At 44.3% G+C, this 24,184-nt stretch overlaps 2 protein-coding genes across 3 annotated transcripts in view, besides 3 other annotated features; one reads left to right on the top strand and one right to left on the bottom strand.

The window, feature by feature from the left end:
- Window positions 399-608: an enhancer, noted in NCBI's record as "active region_6956". NCBI's record gives its function as "activates an Ori minimal core promoter by ATAC-STARR-seq in GM12878 lymphoblastoid cells {active_cell/tissue: GM12878}" and the evidence as "EXISTENCE:reporter gene assay evidence [ECO:0000049][PMID:35858748]".
- Window positions 7,583-9,523, bottom strand: ASCL4 (achaete-scute family bHLH transcription factor 4). The gene has a single exon (NM_203436.3). The coding sequence runs from the start codon at window positions 9,006-9,008 to the stop codon at window positions 8,490-8,492; it is 519 nt and encodes a 172-aa protein (NP_982260.3). The 5' UTR covers window positions 9,009-9,523; the 3' UTR covers window positions 7,583-8,489.
- Window positions 22,800-23,379: a silencer, noted in NCBI's record as "silent region_4823". NCBI's record gives its function as "represses an Ori minimal core promoter by ATAC-STARR-seq in GM12878 lymphoblastoid cells {active_cell/tissue: GM12878}" and the evidence as "EXISTENCE:reporter gene assay evidence [ECO:0000049][PMID:35858748]".
- The window catches only part of PRDM4 (PR/SET domain 4), a 28,267-nt gene continuing 27,172 nt past the window's right edge, over window positions 23,090-24,184 (top strand). For both annotated transcript variants that reach the window (NM_012406.4, XM_005268593.2), the window contains exons 1-2: window positions 23,090-23,270; window positions 23,456-23,722. In NM_012406.4, coding sequence (NP_036538.3) covers window positions 23,712-23,722 — 11 coding nt within the window. In that variant the 5' untranslated portion in view covers window positions 23,090-23,270; window positions 23,456-23,711. The remainder of the gene's footprint in view (window positions 23,271-23,455; window positions 23,723-24,184) is intronic.
- Window positions 23,430-23,539: a silencer, noted in NCBI's record as "silent region_4822". NCBI's record gives its function as "represses an Ori minimal core promoter by ATAC-STARR-seq in GM12878 lymphoblastoid cells {active_cell/tissue: GM12878}" and the evidence as "EXISTENCE:reporter gene assay evidence [ECO:0000049][PMID:35858748]".

Genomic DNA, 24,184 nt, shown 5'->3' with positions numbered 1-24,184 from the left:
TTAAAATATGCTTGATTACAACTGAAAGTTGTCTAGTCATTTGAATGTGGTCAGCACTGAGCCTCAGAACAGAGACAGGAAACAGATGTTGGTGGAAAGTAAGGATTAAAAGTCATTAAACAACAAAAATCCTCTATTTTTCTTTTTAGCCATTATCATTAAGCTTCCTATAAGCAATCAGTAACTATTTGCTGATTGACGAATGGACAGACAGATGGAGGAAGCCCAAATGAATGACATAATAGAGGCTTAGAGCACAGGTTTTGCAACAAGATGTGGTTTACTACCACTTAACCTGTGTGATGTGTCTCAACCTCTCTAAGTCTCAGTTTCCTCAACTTTAAAATGGAAGTGAAATAGAATACATGGCTTGTAGGATGGTTGTGAAGATCAGATGGGAATAGTATTTACAAGGGCCAGGCTTGGTGCAGTGGCTCATGCCCATAATCCTAGCACTTTGAAAACCCGAGGTGGGAGGATCACTTGAGTTCAGGAGCTTGAGACCAGCCTGGACAACACAGGGAGAGCTTGTCTCTACAAAAAAAAAGAAATCTTAAAAACTAGCCAGACATGGTGGTGCATGCCGGTGGTTCCAGCTACTCAGGAAGCTGAGGCGGAGGATCACTTAAGCCCAGGAGGTGGAGGCTGCAGTGAGCTGTGACCGTGCCATCTACACTACAGCCTGAGTAACAGAGTAACTTTCAAAAAAAAAAGTGGGGGGAATGGGGCACAGTGGCTCACACCTGTAATCCCAACACTTTGGGAAGCCGTGATGGGAGGATCACTTGAGCCCAAGAGTTCAGGCCCAGGAGTTTGAGACCAGCCTGGGCAACATAACAAGACCCTACAAAAAAATATAAAAAATTCACCAGGCATGGTGGCATGCAGCTGTAGTCCCAGCTACTTGGGAGGCTGAGGTGGGAGAAGTGCTTGAGCCTGGGAAATTAAGGCTGCAGTGAGCATGATTGCGGCACTGCACTCCAGCCTGAGTGACAGAACGAGACTCTGTCTCAAAAATAAAAAAAATTAAAAAGTATTAAAAAAATTAAAAAGTTTAAAAAAAATAAAGGACTAGCCTGCCTTATAATAGGCCCTCAGGAAATGTTACCTGATGGGAGAATCTGTGTTTGGTGGTCTTTTAAGAAAGAACAGATATGCTTCTGTCCTGCACAGTTTAACCCTTATTTCTCTAAAATTCCCAGGATCAAAGGAGGTCATTTCCCAAAGCCCTCTCTAGTCCTGTGACTCTGAGATAGGATTCCTCCTTCAGATATTTTTTTTCATGGTCAGGGAGATGAGAAACAACTTCAGAAATGGCCCCCTCAAGGCCTGCTCTGTGGGCAGAAACTGGTTTGGAGAGTTTTCTCATCCGGACACACTTCCCTCTGCAGCATCTGAGGTTTCATTTCGGCCATGGTCCATGACAGTGAGTAACCCAACATGAAAAGGCCACTGACAGTTCTTCACCAAAGGACGCAGCTAAATAGCTATGAAAGGATTAAAAAACCAATCTCACCACCCAGACAGCCTGTGAGTAAAACACACATACACAACTTAGCGACAATAATCAAAGAGCTAGAGACAGTGCTATGGTTTCATGGTCCAATAAAGAAAATATAAAGCCCCTTCAGGCTGTCTGCCCTCTCCCAGCAGCCTGTCTGTCTTGATGTGGAGATGAAAGAGCTGGCAATGGTTGACAGAAGGGTCAAAAGAGCTCGCCTAGGGGTACAGTCTGCCTTTACAGTGATCACTGTGAGAAGGTTTCCGTGGGTCAACATTGCTATCAAAAGTTTCATTCCTAGGGTGAAAAATGGGATTGTTAACCATTTTTGGAGATGATGACGATAACTTTGAAAGCTTTGAAGAAAACCTTTGTCTAGACAGAAACAGCTCAGAAAGCTTTTGGCATGCACACCCTTCTGAAACCTCTTAACTGATTATAGCTGGAGAATGCTGACACAGCCTAGAGATACCTTCCCCAGCCTGATTTGACTTGGCTCTCAAGTTCAGTTTAAGGCTTTGTGATAGTCCCTTTGGACTGCTATAGCAAAGTACTGTAGACTAGGCAGCTTAAACAGCCATTTATTTCTCACAGTTCTGGAAGCTGGAAGTCCAATATTAGGATGCCAAGATGATGGCTGGGTTCTGGTGAGGGGCCTTCTCTGGGTTGCAGACTGCTGACTTTTCATTGTATCCTTAGATGTCACAAAGAGGATGAGAGAACTCTCTAGGGGTCCCTTTTAAGGGCACTAATCCCACTCATGAGGGCTCCAGCCCCATGACCTCATGACCTAATCACCTCCCAAAGACCCCATCACATTGGGGGTTAGGATTTCAACATACACATTTGCGGTGGAGGGGGACAAACATACAGTCCATTGCAGGCTTATAGCACTTGGAGTCAGGAGGACAGGAATTAAGTCCCAGGGTCCAGGCTTGAAGTTCTGTTGCCCACAGATCCAAAACTGCTCTGTGAAAGGCACAGACCCCATATCTTCAGATCTAGATGACCGAAGGGCATCTCAGTTCTACTCTCCTCCAAACCCTGTTCTTCTTTGACAAGTTTTTATTCTTCTTCCCCCATCCCCAGAAATTCCACAAAGGAAAGAAAGTAAGGTACTATTTATTTCTCTCTAGCCTTTAATCTATTGCATTTACTCCGTATTGGTTTCTTTGTTGATGTTTTTGTACATAAGCAGTGTATTTTTTTACCCCAGAAGCCACAGACAAAAGGAAATAAATGAATTATTGAGCACCTATTATTTGCTGCCAGATTCTTGGGCAAGGTGTGTGGCATATATTATCACAGTCTCATATAATAAACACTAGGCCAGGTGTGGTGGCTCATACCTGTAATCCCAGCACTTTGGAAGGTCGAGGCAGGTGGATCACTTGAGATCAGGAGTTTGAGACCAGCCTGGCTAACACAGCGAAACCCCCATCTCTACCAAAATACAAAAATTAGCTGGGTGTGGTGGTGGGCACCTGTAGTCCCAGCTACTCAGGAGGCTGAGGTGGGAGAAATGCTTGAACCCAGGAGGCGGAGGTTGCAGTGAGCTGAGATCATGCCACTGCACTCTAGCCTGGGTGACAGAGTGAAACTCTGTCTCAAAAATAAATAAATGAGTAAATAAATAAATAAACACTGCAGAACTTTCTGGAGATATTTATAGTTACAAAACCTTACACTACTAAATAAATATGAATATCATTTAAAATGTGCCATTATGGAGAAGATCTGTCTCATTTTTTTAACCAAGTCATTAAAAACTGATAACTTAATGCTTTTGAAACTAGTTAGCACCCAAGGAACAATATTAAACCCACACAGGTATACTTTTCATACAACCCTCATCTCATTTTCATCTCCACTGTCTGCAAATGGCAGAACCAGCTCCATCTTCTTCAATGACTTAAAAACCTACCTTAGTTTTAGTGCATTACCTTCCAACCCTCTGCCCTCCCAGTTATTTAATCTCTCCAATTCCTAAGACCTTCACCTCCACCTAATTTCAGACTCCTTGAAGCCTTGTCACCTCTGAGCCTCTGAATCAGCTAGACCTGTTTACCTGTAAGACCTCAGGCTCAGAAGTATCTTTGGTATCCCATCTTTTCCTCCATTTGGGTCACACCAGCCCAGCTCTCTTTCTCCCTTCACTGTGAAGTATCCAGAAAAGGCAGTCTTCAAGTTGACTTCCACTTCTCATTTCTTCAATCCACTGTGCTATTTCTGCTCTTACAGAGGTCTCTAGCAATAGACAGTGCTAAAGTCAGGACAGCAATCCAGGCCCTGCCTCACGCAGCACATTGCAGAGAAACTGGGGCCAGAGTGAAGGGCTCAACCCAATAAGATCCCCTCATACTTCAACCATCTGACACCTCTGATTCATAGGATGCTGTCACTCATTCCCTCTTTCTTATACAATTATATCCTCATTTAATTGCCACAATTTCATACCAGCTTGATTCTCTTTCCAACTTCTCTGGCTCCTATTTCTCAGCTCTCTTCAAAGACATTTCTTCTTCTGACACACCTTCAACGCAGGCCTGTCCCTGCTTTCTTCTCTTTATTTATTTATTTATATGTATTTTTTGAGACACAGTGTCACTCTGTTGCCCAGGCTGGAATGCAGTGGTGTGATCATGGCTTATTGCAGCCTCGACCTCCTGGGCTCAGGTGATCCTCCCACCTCAGCCTCCCGAGTAGCTAGGACCACAGGCATGCACCACCCTGCCTGGCTAATTTTTTGTAGACAGCGGGGAGTCTCCTTATGTTTCACAGGCTGGTCTTGAACTCCTGGCTCAAGTGATCCTCCTACCTCAGGCTCCCAAAGTGCTGGGATTACAGGTGTGAGCCACCATGCCCAATTCTTCTCTTTTTCTCATCAACATTCTCCTGTGGAGATCATACCTACTTCTATAACTCCCCATAAGTGTGTGGCTCTTAAAGAAACAGCTACGCTTGACTTTTCTCTTTACCTCAACCTCAGCATTTTCAGTTGCTTGTGGGCAGGAGTAGCCTACCAGTATTTTACATTCAGCGTCTCCAAAACAAGACTCTTACATTTTAAATCCACTTCTCTTTCTGTGTTCTCAATTTCAACCACAGTTGTCTTTAACTTCTCCCTCTTCCTCATCCCCTCCCCCTCCTCTGAGTTGCCAAGACCTATCAGTTCCACTTGTCAATCCATCCCTCCCTTCACATTCCCAATGATACTGTCAGAGTTCAGGCCCCTACTTTGTTTCCTCTCCCTTAATTATGGCAATACCCTATTGGTCCGCTGCTTCCTACCACCGGAGTACCATGATCCTTAACCACGTACCTTCTCCAAAACCCTCCCTCAATTTTTTTTTCAGTAGTTCCCCATTGGTTAAAAAATAAACTCCAAGCTGTTTTAGCCTGGCTTTCAATGTCCCTAGAGCTGCCTCAGCCATTGTATGCAGTCTCCTATTACTCAGCCTCTCTGCGCTCTCCAAACAGTTCCTGTCTTTGCAGCAACTTTGTTCCTCTTATTCCCTCTGCCTGGAGTTCTCGTTCCATTCTTACCTACTAAACACTGCATCCACCAAAGCCTTTCCTTCTTGCTCCCTTCTCACTTGAGGCTGGACCAAATCCCTCTTTTCTTTGGTTCCTCATAGCATATCTTCCATTTTGGATATCAGTTATACCATTTATACCTTTTTCCTCATATTGAGGTAAAACCGGTCTATTTCCCTACCAGCTTGTAAAGAGTCTTCAAGTTCCATTCCATAAAAAACTTATAAAGCTTTTGGTGATTTTTTGTGCTGTTTTGTTTTAACTGGGCGTGGTAACAGCAAGAAAAAAAAAAGTAGGCCGCAGCCCCAGGGCTGGATCATTCTAGTGGGAAGAGGGAAATACAGGAACAGAAAGCACCGTGCTGTGTGGCAGGAAGTGGGCATGTCTTATTACATTTGCTTCCCTCAGCTCGGACTTTGCACAGGTCGGATGCATGATATTTTCCAGCTGGAAGAGTCTAAAAGATAATGTGACACTCTTCATGTGTTCTAGCATAGAAAACTGAGAACACAACAGTTAGGGACTTGCTCAAAGTCACCAAGTCAGTGAGTGGCAAGAGCTGGATCCAGCCCCAGGGCCAGGGCACGCTCTGCCACATCCCAACGCAGCTCCTGCTTTGCACGCTCGGGGTGGGGTGGGGTGGGATGGGGTGTCGCAGCAATTACTCAGGTTGCCAACCACAGGGAGTATTCTAAAAGCAATCAAGTGTGATCAAGGGATATGTCTGGGCTGAGTGGGAAAAATAAAAAAAGGGAAGATGTTGAAGGACATGAAAATCTTTCTCCTTTTATGAATGCTTCATTGCCATAAAACTCCCCTCCATTCTTGCTTCCACAAAATTCACTGGAAATTTATTTTGTTCCTTTTGAAAGTCAAATTGTTCTAGGGTTAATGAAGTGATCATTCGCCGGAAAAGAGGTCAAACCTTTTTAAAGGTCTCATTCCCGGATTGGTGCTCCTCCTGTAAGTCATGGGGAAGGTCTCAGAAAAACTGCAAGATTTCTTCTTTTAAAAAGTTATATGATTGCGGAAGGAGTTCATTTAATTATTACTATTTTTTTAAATAGTAGTCTTACTCTGTTGCCCAGGCTGGAGTGCAGGCAGAGGCACGATCATGGCTTACGGCAGCCTCAAACACCTGGGTGCAAGGAAACCTCCAACCTCGCCCTCCTGAGCAGTTGGGACTACAGAGGCGTGCCACCAAGCCCGGATACATTTTTTTAATTTTTGTAGGTACAAGGTTTCTATATGTTGCCAAGGGCTGGTCTCATGCTCTTGGCCTCAAGTAATCCTCCTACCTTGGCCTCCCAAAGCGCTGGGACTACACGCATGATCCACCACACCCAGCTGAGAGATGGTTTTATTTTTATTTTTCCAAAAGGTTTCTCAAAATCATTGCCTCATTCTCAACAGGGCTTTAAATAAAACCACGTTAAGGTTTCCAGTACCTGGGCTGGTCTCAAACTCCTGAGCTCAAGCGATCCATCTACCTTTGCCTCCCAATGTGCTGGGATTACAGGGTGAGCCACTGCACCCAGCCAATTCTATGTTTTAACATGGATTCAGTGTTCAAAGCATGTATCCTAGAACATTACCAGAGGAGGTAAGAGAGTGTGGTCACTCTGTCCCTCTTTTGAAACACTGAAGAAATCATACCAACTCCACCTAGAGATTTTATTCTTAACCAGGCTTTACTCTCCATAAACTGAGAAATAGTATTTTCCCCAAAATAATAAAACTACTAATTTATCATTGGTTAGTGCCTTGCAGATTACCAAGGTCTTTCACATACACTTCTGTAAACATTTCTGTACAGGTGAGAAAACTGAGTTGAAGCAACATTTGCTCTGCTAGCAAATGACAGAGCAAGAGACAGCATGGTAAGGGAGAAAGAAATCCTTGGCTTTGGGTTCAGGCTCGGGACTTGATCTCAGCTCAAGGAATCCTAGCAACACTAAACTGGTCAAGGTATGTAACCTCTTTGAGCTTCATATTTTTTTTAATCACAAAATATTTGTCATACCCACCCCACAAATTTATGACAATTAAATAGGACAAAATGTAAAAAGCCACAACAAAATTCCTAGCACATAAAAGATGTCCACTGAAGATATAGCCTGCCTTAGTTGCTACAACTGTAAAAGGGGGTAATAAAATCTAAGTGAAATCTACCTGGAGGATGCACTTCCACTGTTAGTTCTCTTTGTCCATTTCCATTTCCCCTCCTTCTTCCCCCACAAACCAAAGCTGCCTCCATGGAAAGGATAATTCGGCATATTAGAAAACAATCTTAGGGAAGTTGATCTTCATACATCAGCAGGCATTTAACTTATCTACTGAACTCAAAATTGTTTCTTAGAAAAAAAATGACCCAAATTCAATATTTTAAAAAGGCTTTTAACATGGCCAAAGTCACTACATCATTTCCATATACTGTACCTGGAAGCCCTAATGGTGATAAAAATATTTGAGAATGTACCAACTTCAATCCATCCGTCTTGTCCCATATCTTTCCCCCATCTGGCTCAACCCGCAAAAAGGACTTCCAAGTAGATTTCTTTTTTATTTTTAAAGTCACAGTGCCACTTCAGTTTATCCAAAACTTAGATGGAGAGCTACACGTTGGGGGGCGGGGGGTATGCAGAGAAAAGGAAAATGAAGAAAACAGTGGACAAAACAATTGAGAGGAAAAACAAGTTTTCATACAAATCTGGGCTCTCTTCCAAAGAGATCATTAATTCTAAGATATTTTACTATCTGCTCAATGCTACAAAGCTTCCACGTGGCCACTGGATGAAACAGTGTGTACCAAGCCACGGATTCCCTGGCACCATCATTCACACAGTCAACAACAGCACATGCTGGCAAATTCGTTCTCAAGTACCAGCTTACAGTCTCCTTCACCCAAAGCAGGAGGTCAACAATTACTTTCCATTACATTTTGAATACAATTCCCGAAGGAAGGAATGCAAGAAAATGTTCCTCTCATTTTTAAGGACTGTTTTTGGCTGTTTGGGGTTGTTTCTGTTTTGGTGGCGGTAAAGTTCTTCTTTGGTTAAGGTTTAATGTTTATGTATACCATTTACCCACACCACGGAAGGTGGGAAATTCCAGTTGTTCTCGCCCTTTGAGTTTTTAGAATAATCGTATTTACAATGAGGTGCTCAGAATCTGAAACAGTTTGCATTTTAGAAGTATAGGAAAAGAGTCTCCTTAATAAGCACCTATAAGTTGCAGGCACGTAACCAATAAGGGCAGGGGAGAAATTCCCAAATGTCAAAACAACTCCCCCATCCCCCAAACCCCAGCACCCATTTCTTTTTCTTAAGATTTAGGCCTGGAGAAGATGCCAGATTAAGAATGCAAACCACCTTCGAAGAGGACCTTAGGTTGAGCGCCCGGCTGCGCGCTGTGCGGCGGGCGCGGGGGTCCTGGCCAGTTCGGGCGCTCGCTAGCTGCCCCCCTCCTCGGGCTCGCTGCTGGGCGAAGGCGCCGAAGAGGCCTTGGACTCCCCGTCGCTGTTGCATTCCGCCCTGCGCTGGGGGACGGCGCCGGCCGCGCCCTCGAGCCCCCAGGCCTGGCGCTCCAGCAGCTCCTGCAGGTGCTTGATGTAGTCGATGGCAGCGCGGAGCGTCTCCACTTTGCTGAGGCGCTTGTCTGCCAGCTCCCGGGGCAGGTGGTCTCGGAGGCGCGCATAGCCCTCGTTCACGCAGCGCACCCGCTGCCGCTCGCGCTCGTTGCGCTTGCGGAGGAAGGCGGGCTCGAAGGCGCTGTCCAGCGGCACGGGCAAGTACTGCCATCCCCGTGCGCAGCCGCTGCGCGCCCACTCCCAGCACGCGGCGTCCAGACGCAGGGCGACCCTGAGGGGGTCCCTCCGCGGGAGTCCGGGCAGGGTCCCCGGAACGCCCAGGGGCGCGGTGCGCAGCGAGTATGGCAAGGCCAGCCGTTCCGCCGGTTTACGCGTCTCCATCATTTGCCGGAAAGCACACAAATCACTCAAGAGGTCAATCTCTCAATAGAAGAAGACGAAACAGAATCTTAGAAGCAGAGGTGCTGGTGCAGACTGCCTGGCTCAGTGGGTCTGTCTTTGCAGAAGTTTCTGGGTCCAGAAGTTAGGTTCCTGGACAGGCTTCAGGGAAACGGTGCATGATTCCTGAAGTTCATTGCACTCCTCGATCTTTTTATGATTTAGGCAGAGGTGGTAGGCAAAGACGTAGGATCTCCTAATCCACACTTCAAACCCCGTCTTCCCCACTGATCTTCTTTCAGAAGATAACAAAGGGGGTTCCTCTGCCTGGTCCCCCAGCCTGGAAAGGTGAGCTCACACCAGAGTCATCTTCCAAAGCCACCAAAAGCTTTTCAATGCCTGTAATCCACCACTCTAGGTCTTCAAGAGATGAGTCGTTCGCCAAGAGCCTAGCAATCTTCAGGATTTGAGAAGAGCTCCTCCCAGGAACCTGCAGATCTGGCGGCGGAGGGAAAGTGGACCAGAGGCTTTCTCCTTGAAAATCACTTGACTGTCCTTTGTGGTTTCCCGCGACCAGGTCTAATGGAAGGAGCTTTTAGAGTGTTTGCAAACTTAAACTTGCTCTTTCATTTCTGGGGTCTTAGCCTCATCAAAGGAAAAACTGCTCTCTTGCGGTTATAAAATGTGTCAAGTCAAGGAAGACCCGGGGCGAGGCTTGAGGTTTTTCTTCTTCCAAACCGAATCTTTTAAAAACTCAATGAGGCATGTTTGAAGGGTATAGGAAAAATACAGACTGTAGCAAAGAATATAAGGGTCTGCATATTATGTTCCAACATATGTTGTTTTATGGTTGTTGAGGGTGTTTTATGGAGATGCGACTTTTTAAAAGCACATCAAAAGACTGAACAATAACAAACGCGCTTAGCCGGTTATTTCTCACAGTGCTTACTGTAAACACAGCTTAAATACTGCTTCCCAGCCTCCTCTTCTAATCTCACCCAGGATATAAGGACATCATCTTTCCATAGCGCAAAGAGTGTTTTTCCATTGGATTCTTCTTCTTTAAAAAATGTCATTTATTTTCTCTCTTGGGGGCAGGAAAGCAACATTTGAAAGGTGGAGACTCCAAGTTCCAAGGAGAAAGGATGATGTCTTTGAAGACTTGTCTTTTTAAGACACAACCCCTCCAAAATGAATAATTAATCCATCCGTGTTGGTAAACCTTTGAAGATTAAAGTGTCATTAAAAATCCAACTGTACTGGTTAACGTCAAAGAATATGTTATCACACTGAAAATCAGATTTCCTCTTCTGCAAACCAGTACATTAAAGGTGTCTTCTACTTTAAAAGTCCTACTTAAAAACAAGAGAAGCAAAAACCCCCTACATTTATGATGAGAGCTTTTGCCTATTCCTCAGCAGACAAGGTGCTGCCCTAACATGTTTTTCTTTTTAGTTTGGCAAGTCCTGTTCTTCCCTGTTTGTTCTAAATGATCCGCCTGAAGCAACTCAAAAAACAAGGCAAATAAAATAGAAATAATTATTCCTTTCGGGTATAAGTTAGTCACATTTTTAAAGGTGTAGCTTGGCTGGGTGCAGTGGCTCAAGGTTGTATTCCCAGCACTTTGGGAGGCCAAGGCGGGTGGATTGCTTGAGGCCAAGAGTTCAAGACCAACCTGGCCAACATAGCAAGACCCCCATCTTTTAAAAAGAAGAAAGAAAAATTAAAAGTTGTAGCTCCTGATGAGGTTTGTACTGGCAAATAGCCTAATATATCATCACAATTTCTCAGTAGAATTGAGAAAGCCCTTTCTATTAGGAGAAAAGTCCACCACTCAGGCAGGTAGGCTGTTATACCACAAGGTGCTTTTTGGCCATGTCAAAGATTTTAACTTTTAAGAGTGACAGGAAGATAATGAAATATTTTAAGCAGGGAGGTGACATTTGAAGATTTGTGTTTCAAAAAAGATAACTGTGTCTGCAGATTGAGGACTAGATTGGAAGAGAGCAAAAGGAAGAACAGTTGAGATGCCATTTCTCCTTCTCAGATTGGCAAAAGTTTAAAAGATTGCTAAGATTCAGGGGAGGCAAGGATTTGAGGAAAGGGTGGGAGCATAAATTGCTTCAAGAAACTATTAAAATTATTATTATTATTATTATTATTATTATTATTATTATTTTGAGACAGGTCTCACTGTCACCCAGGCTGGGGTGCAGTGATGCGATCTCGGCTCACTGCAACCTCCGCCTCCCAGGCTCAAGGGATCCTCCTATCTCAGCCTCCTGAGTAGCTAGGACTACAGGCTTGTGCCTCCACATCCCAGCTAAACAAACTGTTAAAATTAATAGTGCACATCACATCCTTTGATTCAGATATCTGTGCCGTTTTGTCCTACCAAAATAAATGTAGCAATACCTATTTATGTGTACAATAATCTTTATTGCAACATTTGTAGCAATTTAAAAAAACGAAGACTCCAGGCAAGGTGGCTTATGCCTGTAATCCCAGCACTTTGGGAGGCCAAAGTGGGTGGATCACTTGAGGTCAGGAGTTCGAGACCAGCCTAGCCAACGTGGCGAAACCCTGTCTCTACTAAAAATACAAAAAATTAGTCAGGCGTTGTAGCAGGTGCCTGTAATCCCAGCTACTTGGGAGGCTGAGACAGGAGAATCACTTGAATCCTGGAGGCGGAGGTTGTACTGAGCCAAGATCACGCCACTGCACTCCAGCCTGGGTGACAGAGCAAGACCCAGTCTCAAAAAAAAAAAAAAAAAGGCGAGGCTGGGCACAGTAGCTCACGCCTGTAATCTCAGCACTTTGGGAAGCCGAGGTGGGAGGATCATGAGGCCAGGAGTTCAAGACCTGCCTGACCAGCATGATGAAACCCCATCTCTACTAAAAATCAAAAAAATTAGCTGGGCATGGTGGCACATGCCTGTAGTCCCAGCTACTTGGGAGGCTGAGGCAGGAGAATTGCTTCAACCTGGCAGGCAGAGGTTGAAGTGAGCTGAGATAGCCTGGGCGACAGAGCGAGACTCTGTCTCAAAAAATAAATAAATAGATAAAGAAGAAGAAGAAAAAGGGAACAGCCTGAACAGCCTGAATGTCCATCAATAGGAAAAGAGTTAAAAATCTTAGAATATTATGCTATTATTAAAAATAATGAGTAAAATCTGTACGTAAGAACTTGCAGACATATCCACAATGTCTTAAGTGAAAAAAGCAAATTGCAGAGTAACATATGCAGCAGGAACATAAAAACAATTCTACATGATGTGTATGTCCTTTATATGTGTTTCTGTGAGCATGGAGAATGAAATAGAAAGACACATACTAAATGGTTTTTTGCATTGGTTGCCTAAAAAGAAAGGGTGGCATTGGGGAGGAAGGGGGGATGTTCATTTTTCTTTATAAATCTTTCTACTGTTTAACTTGTTAATACCAACACTATTACTTTCTTATTTTTATAACCCAGTGAAACTTAATAAGATAAAATGTGTAGAAAGTTCAAATGACACCCCCTGATCTGGCCCAAACCAACAGATTTACCATTAGAAATTAGAACTCTTAGACCAGGTTTTCTGGCTCCTTGTAAATTCTGTCTCTGAGGACGAAGTATCTACAAGACTTTCTCTCTCTCTCTCTCTCTCTCACTGCTAATACCACAATCAAAATTGGTCAAGGCCGGGCGCGGTGGCTCATGCCTGTAATCCTAGTACTTTGGGAGGCCAAGGCAGGAGGATCACCTGAGGTCAGGAGTTCAAGACCAGCCTGACCAACATGGAGAAACCCCGTTTCTACTAAAAATACAAAATTAGCTGGGCGTGGTGGTACATGCCTGTAATCCCAGCTACTTGGGAGGCTGAGGCAGGAGGAGAATCACTTGAACCCAGGAGGCGGAGGTTGTGGTGAGCTGAGATCATGCCATTGCACTCCAGCCTGGGCGACAAGAGCAAAACTCCGTCAAAAAAAAAAAAAAAAAAAAACTGGTCAAATCCTGATCCTACAGTGGTCTTTTTATAGGATCCAAGTAATATAATGACCTAACTGCATGGTCACAAAGAATGCTGACAGAGCCTTTCCTAAAGAACAAAAGCATTGAAAATAAGTGGCTTTTCCAGTAGGAATAGGACTGTTTTACTCACATGATGTGCAGGGTATGGGGTGGGGGTTACCTTCTTTACATAAGAGATCAAAAGAAGAAGTTTTGACTCCTGATTACTCTCCAGTCAGTTTTGACCCAGATAAACATTCTCTCCAACCTAAAGCTGTCCTAAGGCTGGCTAGATCACGTAACACATATGCTAACCTGCCAAGAGTAACTGGGCTGGGTTTGTGTAGTCCTATTTGGGTCTGCTCATGAAAGGGGGCAGATGGGCAGGTATATTTTAATCCTTTCCTTCTAGCTTTTGTCTTTTCTCCCCTGTTTAAGGCTACCTTCTCCTACCGCAAGTTTTACAAGGCCTCCTCTTGTCTATATAACACCTTGGTGTGAATTATGAAGAGGCACCAAACTCAAGGCTTGGAGAATGAATGGCTGACTCTAAAATTCATCTGGAAGAACTTTTGGGCAAGGATTTCCCAAATTTGGAAAAGAAGACAAAAGAACACAACGTGCACTTTTAATATCCATGAGGAAGAAATTACCACTTGAGATTCTAACTGAGGCTGTGTTAAATAGAAAGAAATTGGGCCAGGTGCAGTGGCTCATACCTGTAATTCCAACACTTTGGGAAGCTTATACAGGCAGATCACTTGAGCCCAGGAGTTTAAGACCAGCCTGAGCAACATGGGGAGACCCCATCAATACAAAAAAATACAAAAAATAGTCAGGCATGATGGCATGCATCTGAGGTCGCAACAACTCAGGAGGCTAAGGGGGGTGGATTGATTGAGCCCTGGAGATCGAGGCTGCAGTGAGCTGTGATCATGCCACAGCACTCCAGCCTGGGCAACAGAGCAACACCCTGTCTCCATTTAAAAGATTAATTTGGTGAGAATTACCTTTTTTTAAAAAAAAAACATTGCATAGCTCCATATATGCACATAATAGAACTCACTTCTTCAGGTCTTCTTTTTTGTTTTTTGGTAAATTTTGGCCAGGTGCCATGGCTCACGCCTGTAATCCCAGCACTTTGGGAGGCTAAGGCGGGCGGATCACTAGGTCAAGAGATGGAGACCATCCTGGCCAACATGGTGAAAGCCCGTCTCTACCAAACATACAAAAATTAGCTGGGCATGGTGGCGCGTGCCTGTGGTCCCAGCTACTCGGGAGGCTGAGGCAGGAGAATCACTTCAACCCAGGAGGCGGAGGTTGCAGTGAACCAAGATCGCGCCACTGCACTCCAGCCTGGTGACAGAGCAAGACTCCATCTCAAAAAATAAAAATTAATTAATTAATTAATTTCAAATATTTTTCCATGTAGGTCTTGAACATATCTTATTATGCTTATTTCATGATGTTTTATAGGTTTTGTTGCTATAGTGAATAAGATTTTTTTCTGTTATTCAAAGCTACTGATTTATGTTAATCTTTAATCTAGTCATTTCGCTAAACTCTCTTATTAGTTCTAAAGGTTTTTAATCATGATAAGATCTACATAGATTAAATGCACAGATGTTAAATATACAACTTAATGAGCTTTGAATACATGCATACACTTGTGAAATAACACCCACTCAAGATGACTTTTTTTTTTTTTTGAGAGATGGGGTCTCACTCTGACACCCAGGCTGGAATGCACTGGCAGAATCTCGGCTCACTGCACCCTCCGCCTCCGAGGCTCAAGCCATCCTCCCAGCTCAGCCTCCTGAGTAGCTGGGACTACAGGCATGAACCACCATGCCCAGTTAATTTTCGTATTTTTAGTAGAGACAGGATTTCAGCATGTTGGCCAGGAAGGTCTCGATCTCTTGACCTCATGACCCACCTGCCTGGGCCTCCCAAAGTGCTGGGATTACAGGTGTGTGTGAGCCATCACACCCAGCCCATCCTGGTATTTTAATAAGAAAGCTTCTAATGTTTCCCTATCTAGTAGATATTCTTTACCAAGTTAAGGAAATTTGTTTGTTATTTTCAGAAAGAGCTACTAAATTTTATCAAATTCTTTTTAACATCTATAATCATGTATTTTCTTTTTTTATTTGTTATTGTAGTGAATTGCTATAATAGATTTTCTAACATTGAGCCACCTTGCATTCTTAGAATAAAATCCTATGGAGTCATAATTCTTTTATACACTGCTGGATTCAATTTGTTAATATTTTATTTAGAAATTTTTTTCTTATAGTCCCCAGTTATATTGGCTCATAGTTTTATTTTCTTGTGCTCTCCTTTTTTGGTATCAGCATTATTTCAAACTCTTAAAAATAAGTTGAGCAGCTTTCCATCTGTTTCTAGGTGTTGGAACCATTTGTAAAAGATGAAAATTATCTGTTCTTTGGAGAGTTGCTAAAACAAAAAACATATGGCATATGGACTTTTTGTTGTTGTTTTGAGACAGAGTCTTGCTCTGTCACCCAGGCTGGAGTGCAGTGGCATGATCCTGGCTCGCCAAAGCCTCAACCTGCTGGGTTCAATTGACCAGCCTCCTGAGTAGCTGGGACCACAACCGTGTACCACCACACCCGATTAATTTTTATATTTTTTGTAGAGATGAGGCTTCAATGTGTTGCTCAGGTTAGTCTCGAACTCCTGAGCTCAGGTGATCCACCTGCCACAGCCTCCCAAGTGTTGGGATGACAGGTGTGAGCCACTGTGCCCGGCTATGGACCTTCTTTGGAGGTAAATTTTCAGTTACTTTTTCATTTCTTTTATCATTGCTGTTGGAATTTTAGGAGGCCATTAACAAAGACAATGATCTTGTCTTTCTTTCTTGAGTTTCCAGCTTCCTTCAATGGCAACTACTGCTCCTTTGTTTATCATCTTAGACTCACAGATAGGCAGTTTAATTTTTGCCCCTTAAACTTCTAAAATGAATCAGAACAGTACATCTGTTAAATTAACCCCAAAATATGGTGGACCCCAGGCCAAAAACTCACTCCTGATTTTATTTGCTATTTCTAATGAAGGCCATTCCAGTATAGTTGGCCTGAGGTTATGCAGTCAAATAAATTACCCATAGAACAATCCTCCAAATTAAAAAAAAATCCTCATTCTCAAATTGCTAGGCATAAATTAAAACCCAAAGCTTAAATAACCTTATCCTTTTAGGTTAAAATTCAGAGATATCAACATTAAAATTTCTTTGGCTAAACTCCTACAAATCATTTCCCCTCTGTGATATTATGATATATTGGGTTTTGTCCACAGTTCCTGGCTTATAACTCCCTTAGCTCTTGTTACAGTCTTTCGTTATAATGTTAGGGCACTCAGAAGCAGGCCTCAGAAAACAGAACTCTCTCTGTCTCTGTGAACTTCCCCTGCCCTTCTTTCACCAGCCCACAGCAGAACTCTTATCTTCCACCACCTTTGTAATTGTGGGTCATGAGACCCTCAATTCAGGAGTCCTGCCCCATCCGCTGGAGGAAGGAATGCTGCATGGAAGAGACTAGGAAGAATGTGAACAGACAGGCCTTGCTGGGTTTCCCCACTGAGTTTATTAGTATTCGATCACATGCTTTTCGGGCCAATTACATTTCTACATGGTAGTCAGTCATGCCTATCCAATAATGTCTCCGTTAAAGGCCCAAGAGGACAGAGTTTGGAGAGCTTCTGGATAGCTGAACCCCTGAGGGTTCCTGGAGGGTGGCACGCCCAGGGAGGGCATGGAAGCTCTGCACCCCATCCCTGTGCCATGCTCTGTGCATCTCTTCATCTGTATCCTTTGTAATGTCCTTTGTAATAAACCAGTAAATGTAAGTTAAGTGTCTCCTTGAGTTATGTAAGCCACTTTAGCAAATTAATGGGACCCAAAGAGGGGGTCATGGAAATCCCAATTTGAAGCCAATTGGTCAGAAGTTCCACAGGCCTGGACTTGTGACTGGTGTCTGATGAGGAAGGGTTGGGGGGAAGTCTGATGGGACTGATCCCTCAACCTGTGGGATCTGACGCTATCTCCAGGTAGATAGTGTTGGAATTAAATTGGAGGGTACCCAGTTGGTGTGTGTTGCAGAACTGATTGCTTGCTTGGTGTGTGGGGAAAACCACCCCACATTTGGTCACAGAAGTCTTCTGTGTTGTGGTGTTGATGATGTTGTGTTTATTTCTGCTCACTCTTTGATTTCTGATTCTGCTCAGTCTAGTTAGAGGGGTGTTGTTCAAAAGACTGAGTAGAGTGTAGATTCATTCTGCGTGATCCTCACAGAAATTAGCAGTTCCTTCAGATCTGAGAAACTGAATTAGTTTGAAACCATATGTGTTCACCCTTTAAAGTCCTAAGACTTGGTCGGGTATGGTGGTTCATGCCTGTAATCCCAGCACTTTGGGAGGCCAAAGCAGAAGGATCACTCAAGACCAGCCTGGGCAACATGGTAAAACCCCGTCTCCACAAAACATACAAAAATTAGCTGGGTGTGGTGGTGCATGCCTGTAATCCCAGCTACTCGGGAGGCTGAGGTGGGAAGACTGCTTGAGCCTAGGAGTCAGAGGTTGCAGTGAGCCGAGATCACGCCATCTGTACTCCAGCCTGGGCGACAGAGCAAGACTCTGTCTCAAAAAAAGAAAAAAATCGTAAGAGCTAACAGAACACACAAGATCACCCCAGTTCTACTACCACATACACTGCATTTAGAAAACAAGTAATTCTACAGCTTTTAGAGGAGTTGAAAAAGTACTTGGGACATTAAGAGAAATACTGTTCCAAGTACCAGTGCTTAATCCTCTATACCCCTGTATCAGTTTCCTAAGATCAGAGCAGAGACTCAGAGGTAGCCAAGATAAGGGGGGCAGCCTCCTCAGAATGGCCGTCAATAAAATGCTAAGCACTTATTTAGCTCTTGAGCCTGAGGATCAGTGATTTGGCCTGACCGCGGCTCAGTTCAAGCATATGTCCCACATGGCAAACTCAGAATCAAGGAGCAGAAAAATAGACTCCACTTCTTCCCAAGAGAAAAAAGGCTGGCTACCGAGAGGAGTGAAGAATTGGGGCTATTGACAAAATCTCTCTATTTTACTTCCCACTCTAAAATAATTGCACAATGTAAACTAGGCCCATGTCAGGGGCTCCATAGCCACAGGTGGGTAGCAGCTACCACACTAGGCAATACAGTTCTAGAGTCACTGGTGTCCTTGCAATTTCTCAAATCTGCCAGGCAGTGTCCTGCCTCAGGGCCTTTGCTCTTGACCTTCTTTCTGATTGAGATATTCTTCCTCTAGATGTTTGCATGGATCACTGTCTCCTCTCCTTTGGTTCAAATGTCACCTTTTGAGTGATGACTTCTCTGTCTACCCTATTAAAATTGCAGGCCCATCCCCAGGCATTTTCTGTCCATTTTTCCAGCCATTCTTTTTTTTAATGTTATTTATTGCTATCTGGAATATTGTGTATTTTAATTATTTATTTCTTTATTATCTATCTTCTTCCATTATAATGTAAGCTCCAGAGGAACTGGTATTTTTTGCCTGTTTTGTTTACTATATACTCCCAGTTCCTAGAGCAATGCCTGGCACAGAGTAGACACTCAACAAACATTTGTAGAATAAACTCTATGCCTCTCTGCAAATATTAAATAAAGGAGGTCAGTCCTTACATTATACATTATAATTGTATCAAACTTATGGGCAGGAATCCCAAGAATGCCAAAGAGCAGGTTTACCCACATAAAAGGTCTTTATTTCCAGATCCTCCTTACCATAAGGAATAGGAAGCAAGATTTGAAAACTTAATTAGGGTCAGTTAAAAGTAAGATACCCTGATCAGCTAAATCTGGGGCCAAGTTTACCCATTACTGTTCTCGTCTTTAGTGCTAGGAAATAATGTTTAAAGGTAATTTGCTCTCTGTGTCTATCCCTGATGTCCAGGAAAAATCTTAGTGGTTGTTATCTGGTTGTCTTCACTGATATTACCTCTAAGCTCTACCCTTGACTATACTCTCCATCATTATTTCACAGTCATACTAATACAGTCCTGTGCCATACAATGATGTTTTGGTCAACGACAGACTGGATATACAAGAGTGGTCCCATAAGATTATAATGAAGCTGCCCTATACAGGCATACCATTTTTTAATCTTTTATCTGTATTTTTACTGTACTTTTTCTATGTTTAGATATGTTTAGATACACAAATACCACGATGTTACAGTTGTCTGGAGTATTCAGTACAGTAACATGCTGTGCAGGTTTGTAGCCTAGGAGCTATAGGCCATACCATCTAGCCTAGGGGTGTAGTAGGTTAGACCATCTAGGTATATGTAAGGGCACTCTATGATGTTTGCACAACCACAGAATCACCTAAGGTTGCATTCCTCAGAACATATCCTCATTGTTCTGCCACACCGACGCTCTTCATTTCTACCTGTGTGATTGGCCAGTTTCTCCCATTTTTGTTGTTGTTGTTGTTTGAGGAAGTGTCTTGCCCTGTCGCCCAGGCCAGAGTGCAGTGGCTGTGGCCTGATCACAGCTCACTGCAGTATCAACCTCCCAGGCTCAAAGTATCCTTCTACCTCAGCCTCCCAAGTAGCTGGGACCACAGGCATGTACCATCATACCGGGCTGATTTTTGTAAAGACAAGGTTTCATCATGTTGCTCAGGCTGATCTTGAACTCCTGGACTCAAGAAATCCACCAGACTTGGCTTCCCAAAGTGCTAGGATTACCGGTGTGAGCCACTGTGTCTGGCCTTTCCATTGTCTTTATTGTCTTAACAGCACCATGGAGTCTCCTTAAAGGGGTAAGTCACCCTAAATCAGCAGTTAAGGCAATCTTTGAGCAAACATTTGCTGTACATCTCCAAGTAAATAGATATATGAGTCAATATGTGTGGCTTCAAATTATGCCAGTTTGACTTTCCCTCAGGCATCAGAAATTCATTGAATATCTAATATATGCCAGGTATAGTGCTATGTTGTATAGCATTAAATAAGATAGACATGAATCTTCTCCCCAAAATTTAAAATGTATTTGGCAAAATAGAAAATTAAACAATTAATTACAATAAAGATAGGTACTATGAGAGAGCATACAGTGGGCCTAGTCTGGGGAGTAGAGTCAGAACACTTCAATTTTTGTTAATCTTGACATAATTTTTTAATTGAATTTTTGAGGTATTTTTACATACAATAAAATTCACCAATGTCAAGTTTACTATTTGATTAATTTGGACAGATGTATACAATTGTGTAACCTCTACCACAATCAAGACCATTTTCATCACTCCTAAAAGTTCTCTTATGCCCCCACTGTAGGCAATCTCATCCCCCAACCCATTCCCAACTTCTGACAATCACTTCTCTGCTTTCTATTACTACAGTTTTGCCTTTTCTAGAATTTCTCATACCTGGACTCATAATATGTAGTCTATTGTGTCTGGTTCCTTTCACTTAGCATAATACGTCTTTGAGATCCATCCATGTATCAACAGCTTGTTCCTTTTTATTTCTGAGTATTCCACTGTATAGATACTGTACACTATCATTATTCATTTACCAGTTGATGGACATTTGGGTCATTTCCTGTTCTGGCCTATGACAGATAACGCAGCTATGGACATTGGCGTACAAGTCTTTGTACATATGTTTTTATTTTTCTTTGGTAAATACCTAAGGAGTGTGGAGAATTGGATGGTATAAGAGGTATAAGAAATTGCTGGCCAGGCATGGTTGCTCATGCCTGTAATCCCAGCACTTTGGGAGGCTAAGGCAGGTGGATCACTTGAGGTCAGGAGTTCGCAACCGGCTTGGCCAACATGGTGAAACCCCATCTCTACTAAAAATACAAAAGTTCGCCAGGCATGCTGGTGAGCACCTGTAATCCCAGCTACTGGGGAAGCTGAGGCAGGAGAATCACTTGAACCCAGCAGGCAGAGGCTGCAGTGAGCTGAGACCACAGCACAGCACTCCAGCCTGGGTGACAGTGAAACTCTGTCTAAAAAAAAAAAGAGAGAAAGAAAAAAGAAAGAAATTCTAAAATGGCTGTGGCATTTTTTTTGCATTCCCACCAACAAAATGTGAGGGTGCCAGTTGCTCCATATCTGTGCCAACACTTGTTATAGTTGGTCTTTTTAATTGAAGCCATTCTAGTAAGTGTGTAATATCACTTCATTGTGCTTTGATTTGCATTTCTTTGATACCTAATGATGCTGCACATCTTTTTGTGTGCTTAATCGCCATCCATATAGCTTCTTTGGTGAAATGGCTGTTGAAATTTTTGCCTAAGTTTTTAAATTTAATTGTCTTCTTATTATTGTGTTTAAAGGGTTCTTTATATAGTCAAGATACAAATCCTTTGTCAGATATTTGTTTTGAAAATATTTTCTCCCAGTCTCTCACTTGACTCATTTTGTTGACAGTATCTTTTCAAGATCAACCATTTTAATTTTGATGAAGTTCGATTTGTCATTTTTTTTTTTGAGATAGGGTCTCTCTCTGTCACCTGAGCTGGAGTGCAGTGGCACAATCTTAGCTCATTGCAACCTCATACTCCTGGGCACAAGCTATCCTCCTGTCTCAGCCTCCCAAGTAGCTGGGGCTACACGTGCATACCACCATGCCCAGCTAATTTTTTTTATTTTTTGTAGAGACAGGGTCTCACTTTGTTGCCCAGGATGGTCTCAAACTCCTGGGCTCAAGCGATCCTCCTACCTCAGCTTCCCAAAGTGCTGAGGAGAGAGCCACTGCACTTGCTCCAATTTTTTAATAGTTTGTGATTTTTTTGTCCTATCAAGGTCACAAAGATTTTTGCCTTTATTTTCCTCTGTAAGTATTATGGTTTTAGCTCTTACATTTATGTGACCTGATTTTTATGTTCACCTCTCAACTTAATAAAATTGTTCCAAAAGAACAGACATCCAAACCCAAACCTAGTGAAAGCATTCGGCCGGTAATAAGATACATCATCATTCTCTAGGCTCCAGATTTGAAGTGGCATTTCAGGGAATACTGTCTCTCAGTTGAGATGATGACCTTCTTGATTTAGATTTCTATTTGTTGTCAACAGAGAGCAAAACCAATGTGACCTGCCTGCCAATGTTCAGTGAAGTTTCCTCATCTGGAATGTGCTTTCCCCCCATGAGAAGTAAACGAAGGGAAACATTATGGGGGTTGACACCCCTCCCAGCTCTCGTCCAAAAGGTTGCATGTGCCTCTACCCTTTCACATTAGACTGAATTTTCAAAATTCATCAGTTCCCACTAGACTGCAGGCAGGTGAAGGTCAGGGCTTGTGCCTTGCTCTGTATCCCTAGGTTTGAGATGTAATTCAACAGACGCTTTGTGAATGACAGGAAGAATTCCTGGGTCTGCTGTTCTGCTGGTGTAAGGGAGCCACCAGGCAGTGTGGTGTAATTTCAACGTCTACTGCTCAGGAGCTTGGGACCACCTTCCTTTAAAGCCATCTCGGTACTCCTAGCGTTAGGCACAGTGCCTGGCGCGCAGTAGAGAACTGAGGGCAGAGAAAAGGGGAAGGAAATTTTGTTTAAAATCCCAAACCCCAGCATTTACGACGGGAAGCAGGGAAACTGGGCAGCCTTCAGGTGTAGCAGACGGCCGAAAATATTCAGGATAGAATCCCAATTCCTCCTGGGCAGCAGAGGCAACCCTCGGGGCCAAATCCCATACTTCGAATTTTGGGGGCTTTGTGTGGACCCATGCTTCTCTAGTAGGGGAATGTCATGAAGACGAAATCCTGAGTCTGCGGGATTTAGGGGATTCAAAACTCAATCCCTGCAGGAACAGCAGCCCTGGTCGCCTAGCAACCATGGGCCGATCGCTCGGCGCTCGATTCTACCCGGCCGGATGGAGACGCGGAACTCCCGGCCGAGCCTCTCGCGGCCAGTGCCTCTGCCGTGCGCACGCGCGGAGGGGCCTGGGCTGGGAGAAGGGCGACGCGGTGCGCGGGCGCCGCTTGCGGGCCGCGGCGGGGAGGGCGCACGCACGAGGGGCGGAGCGGCGGGCGCTGAGAGTGGCTGAGGATCCGGAAACGCGCCGCAGAGGGTGCGGCCCAGAGGAGGCCGCGGGCCGGGAAGGGCCGGGCGGGACGGGAAACGTTAGGGCAGCGGCCCCCGGGGTGAGGGGGCCGAGCGGACGGGCAGGGCCCCGAGGCGAACTCTGCCCGGATGAGGAACAAAGCAGTGGGGCAGGCGCGTGCGCCCCCAGCGCAGCTGGCAGGTGGGCTGCGCGCGGGCCCGGCCGGAGCGGGGCGGGGCGCGGCGGCCCGGCCTGCGGGCCGCGGGCGGGCTAATCCACAGCCCTTGGGTGGCGGTGTCGGCAGCGCCTGGGGCTTTCGGGTAGCTGGGATGGGGGCTGCGACCTTGTTGTGGTTTTGGTGACCGCTCTTGTCCCCACTCCCCCAGGTTGGGCAGCCCCCTTCCCGAAGCTTCTGGACGGAAGGCCCCAGGTGTTCCCCGAGATGCCCCAACCCGTGGCGGGGTGCACGGCCACCGGCCCTCGGGAGAAGTTGGGCGGCCCCGGGCGACCCCGGGGACGAGTGGCCGCGTCGGTGCAGCGGTTGTGAGCAAGATGTGGTAGCACGTGACCCTGGAACGCAAACCCTGATGCCTGTTCCCCACCACCCGAGCGCTCCTTTCTCTGATATTTGGCCCCAAGCCGATGCATCACAGGTGAGTAGGGAGGTGGGCTTCAGCACTGGTGACATCGTTGGAAACTCTGGCGAGTGAGTGTCCAGGGTCAGTGCCGTTGTTTTTGGTGCCATTGAGAAGGTTACAGGTGTGATTTGCAAAGGAAACAAATCCAGAAACTAGTGTTGGGTGGAATGTAATCTCATGCATCCTAATTTACTCCACATGTGGAAAGTTGTTCCCAGTAGCCACACGTTTATTGTTGGCTTGTTGACACCTTTTCCTGTGTCTTTCAGTTATTTGAGCGTTTAATATATTTTTCCGGATTCCAACGTGTATTGTTATCTTATTATGCTTCACCTTGAGTTTTGCTGGTATGGCAGGGACGATAGTGAGGGAATTAAGTTCTTAATTCTGCAAGCTTCATGCTGATGTTTAAGTACAGAAGCAGGCCACAGAAATTGTTGCATTTGGCTGTTTTTTCAAGGCCCTTTCAAAGGCCGT

The sequence above is a fragment of the Homo sapiens genome, chromosome 12, assembly GCF_000001405.40.
Source record: "Homo sapiens chromosome 12, GRCh38.p14 Primary Assembly".
Lineage (NCBI taxonomy): Eukaryota > Metazoa > Chordata > Mammalia > Primates > Hominidae > Homo > Homo sapiens.
Note: the sequence above shows the minus strand (reverse complement) of the source record. Positions and strands in the feature narration are given on the sequence as shown.

Excerpts from the sequence above, each read along its gene's own strand:
- ASCL4 (NM_203436.3), bottom strand. The coding sequence starts at position 9,008 with ATGGAGACGCGTAAACCGGCGGAACGGCTGGCCTTGCCATACTCGCTG.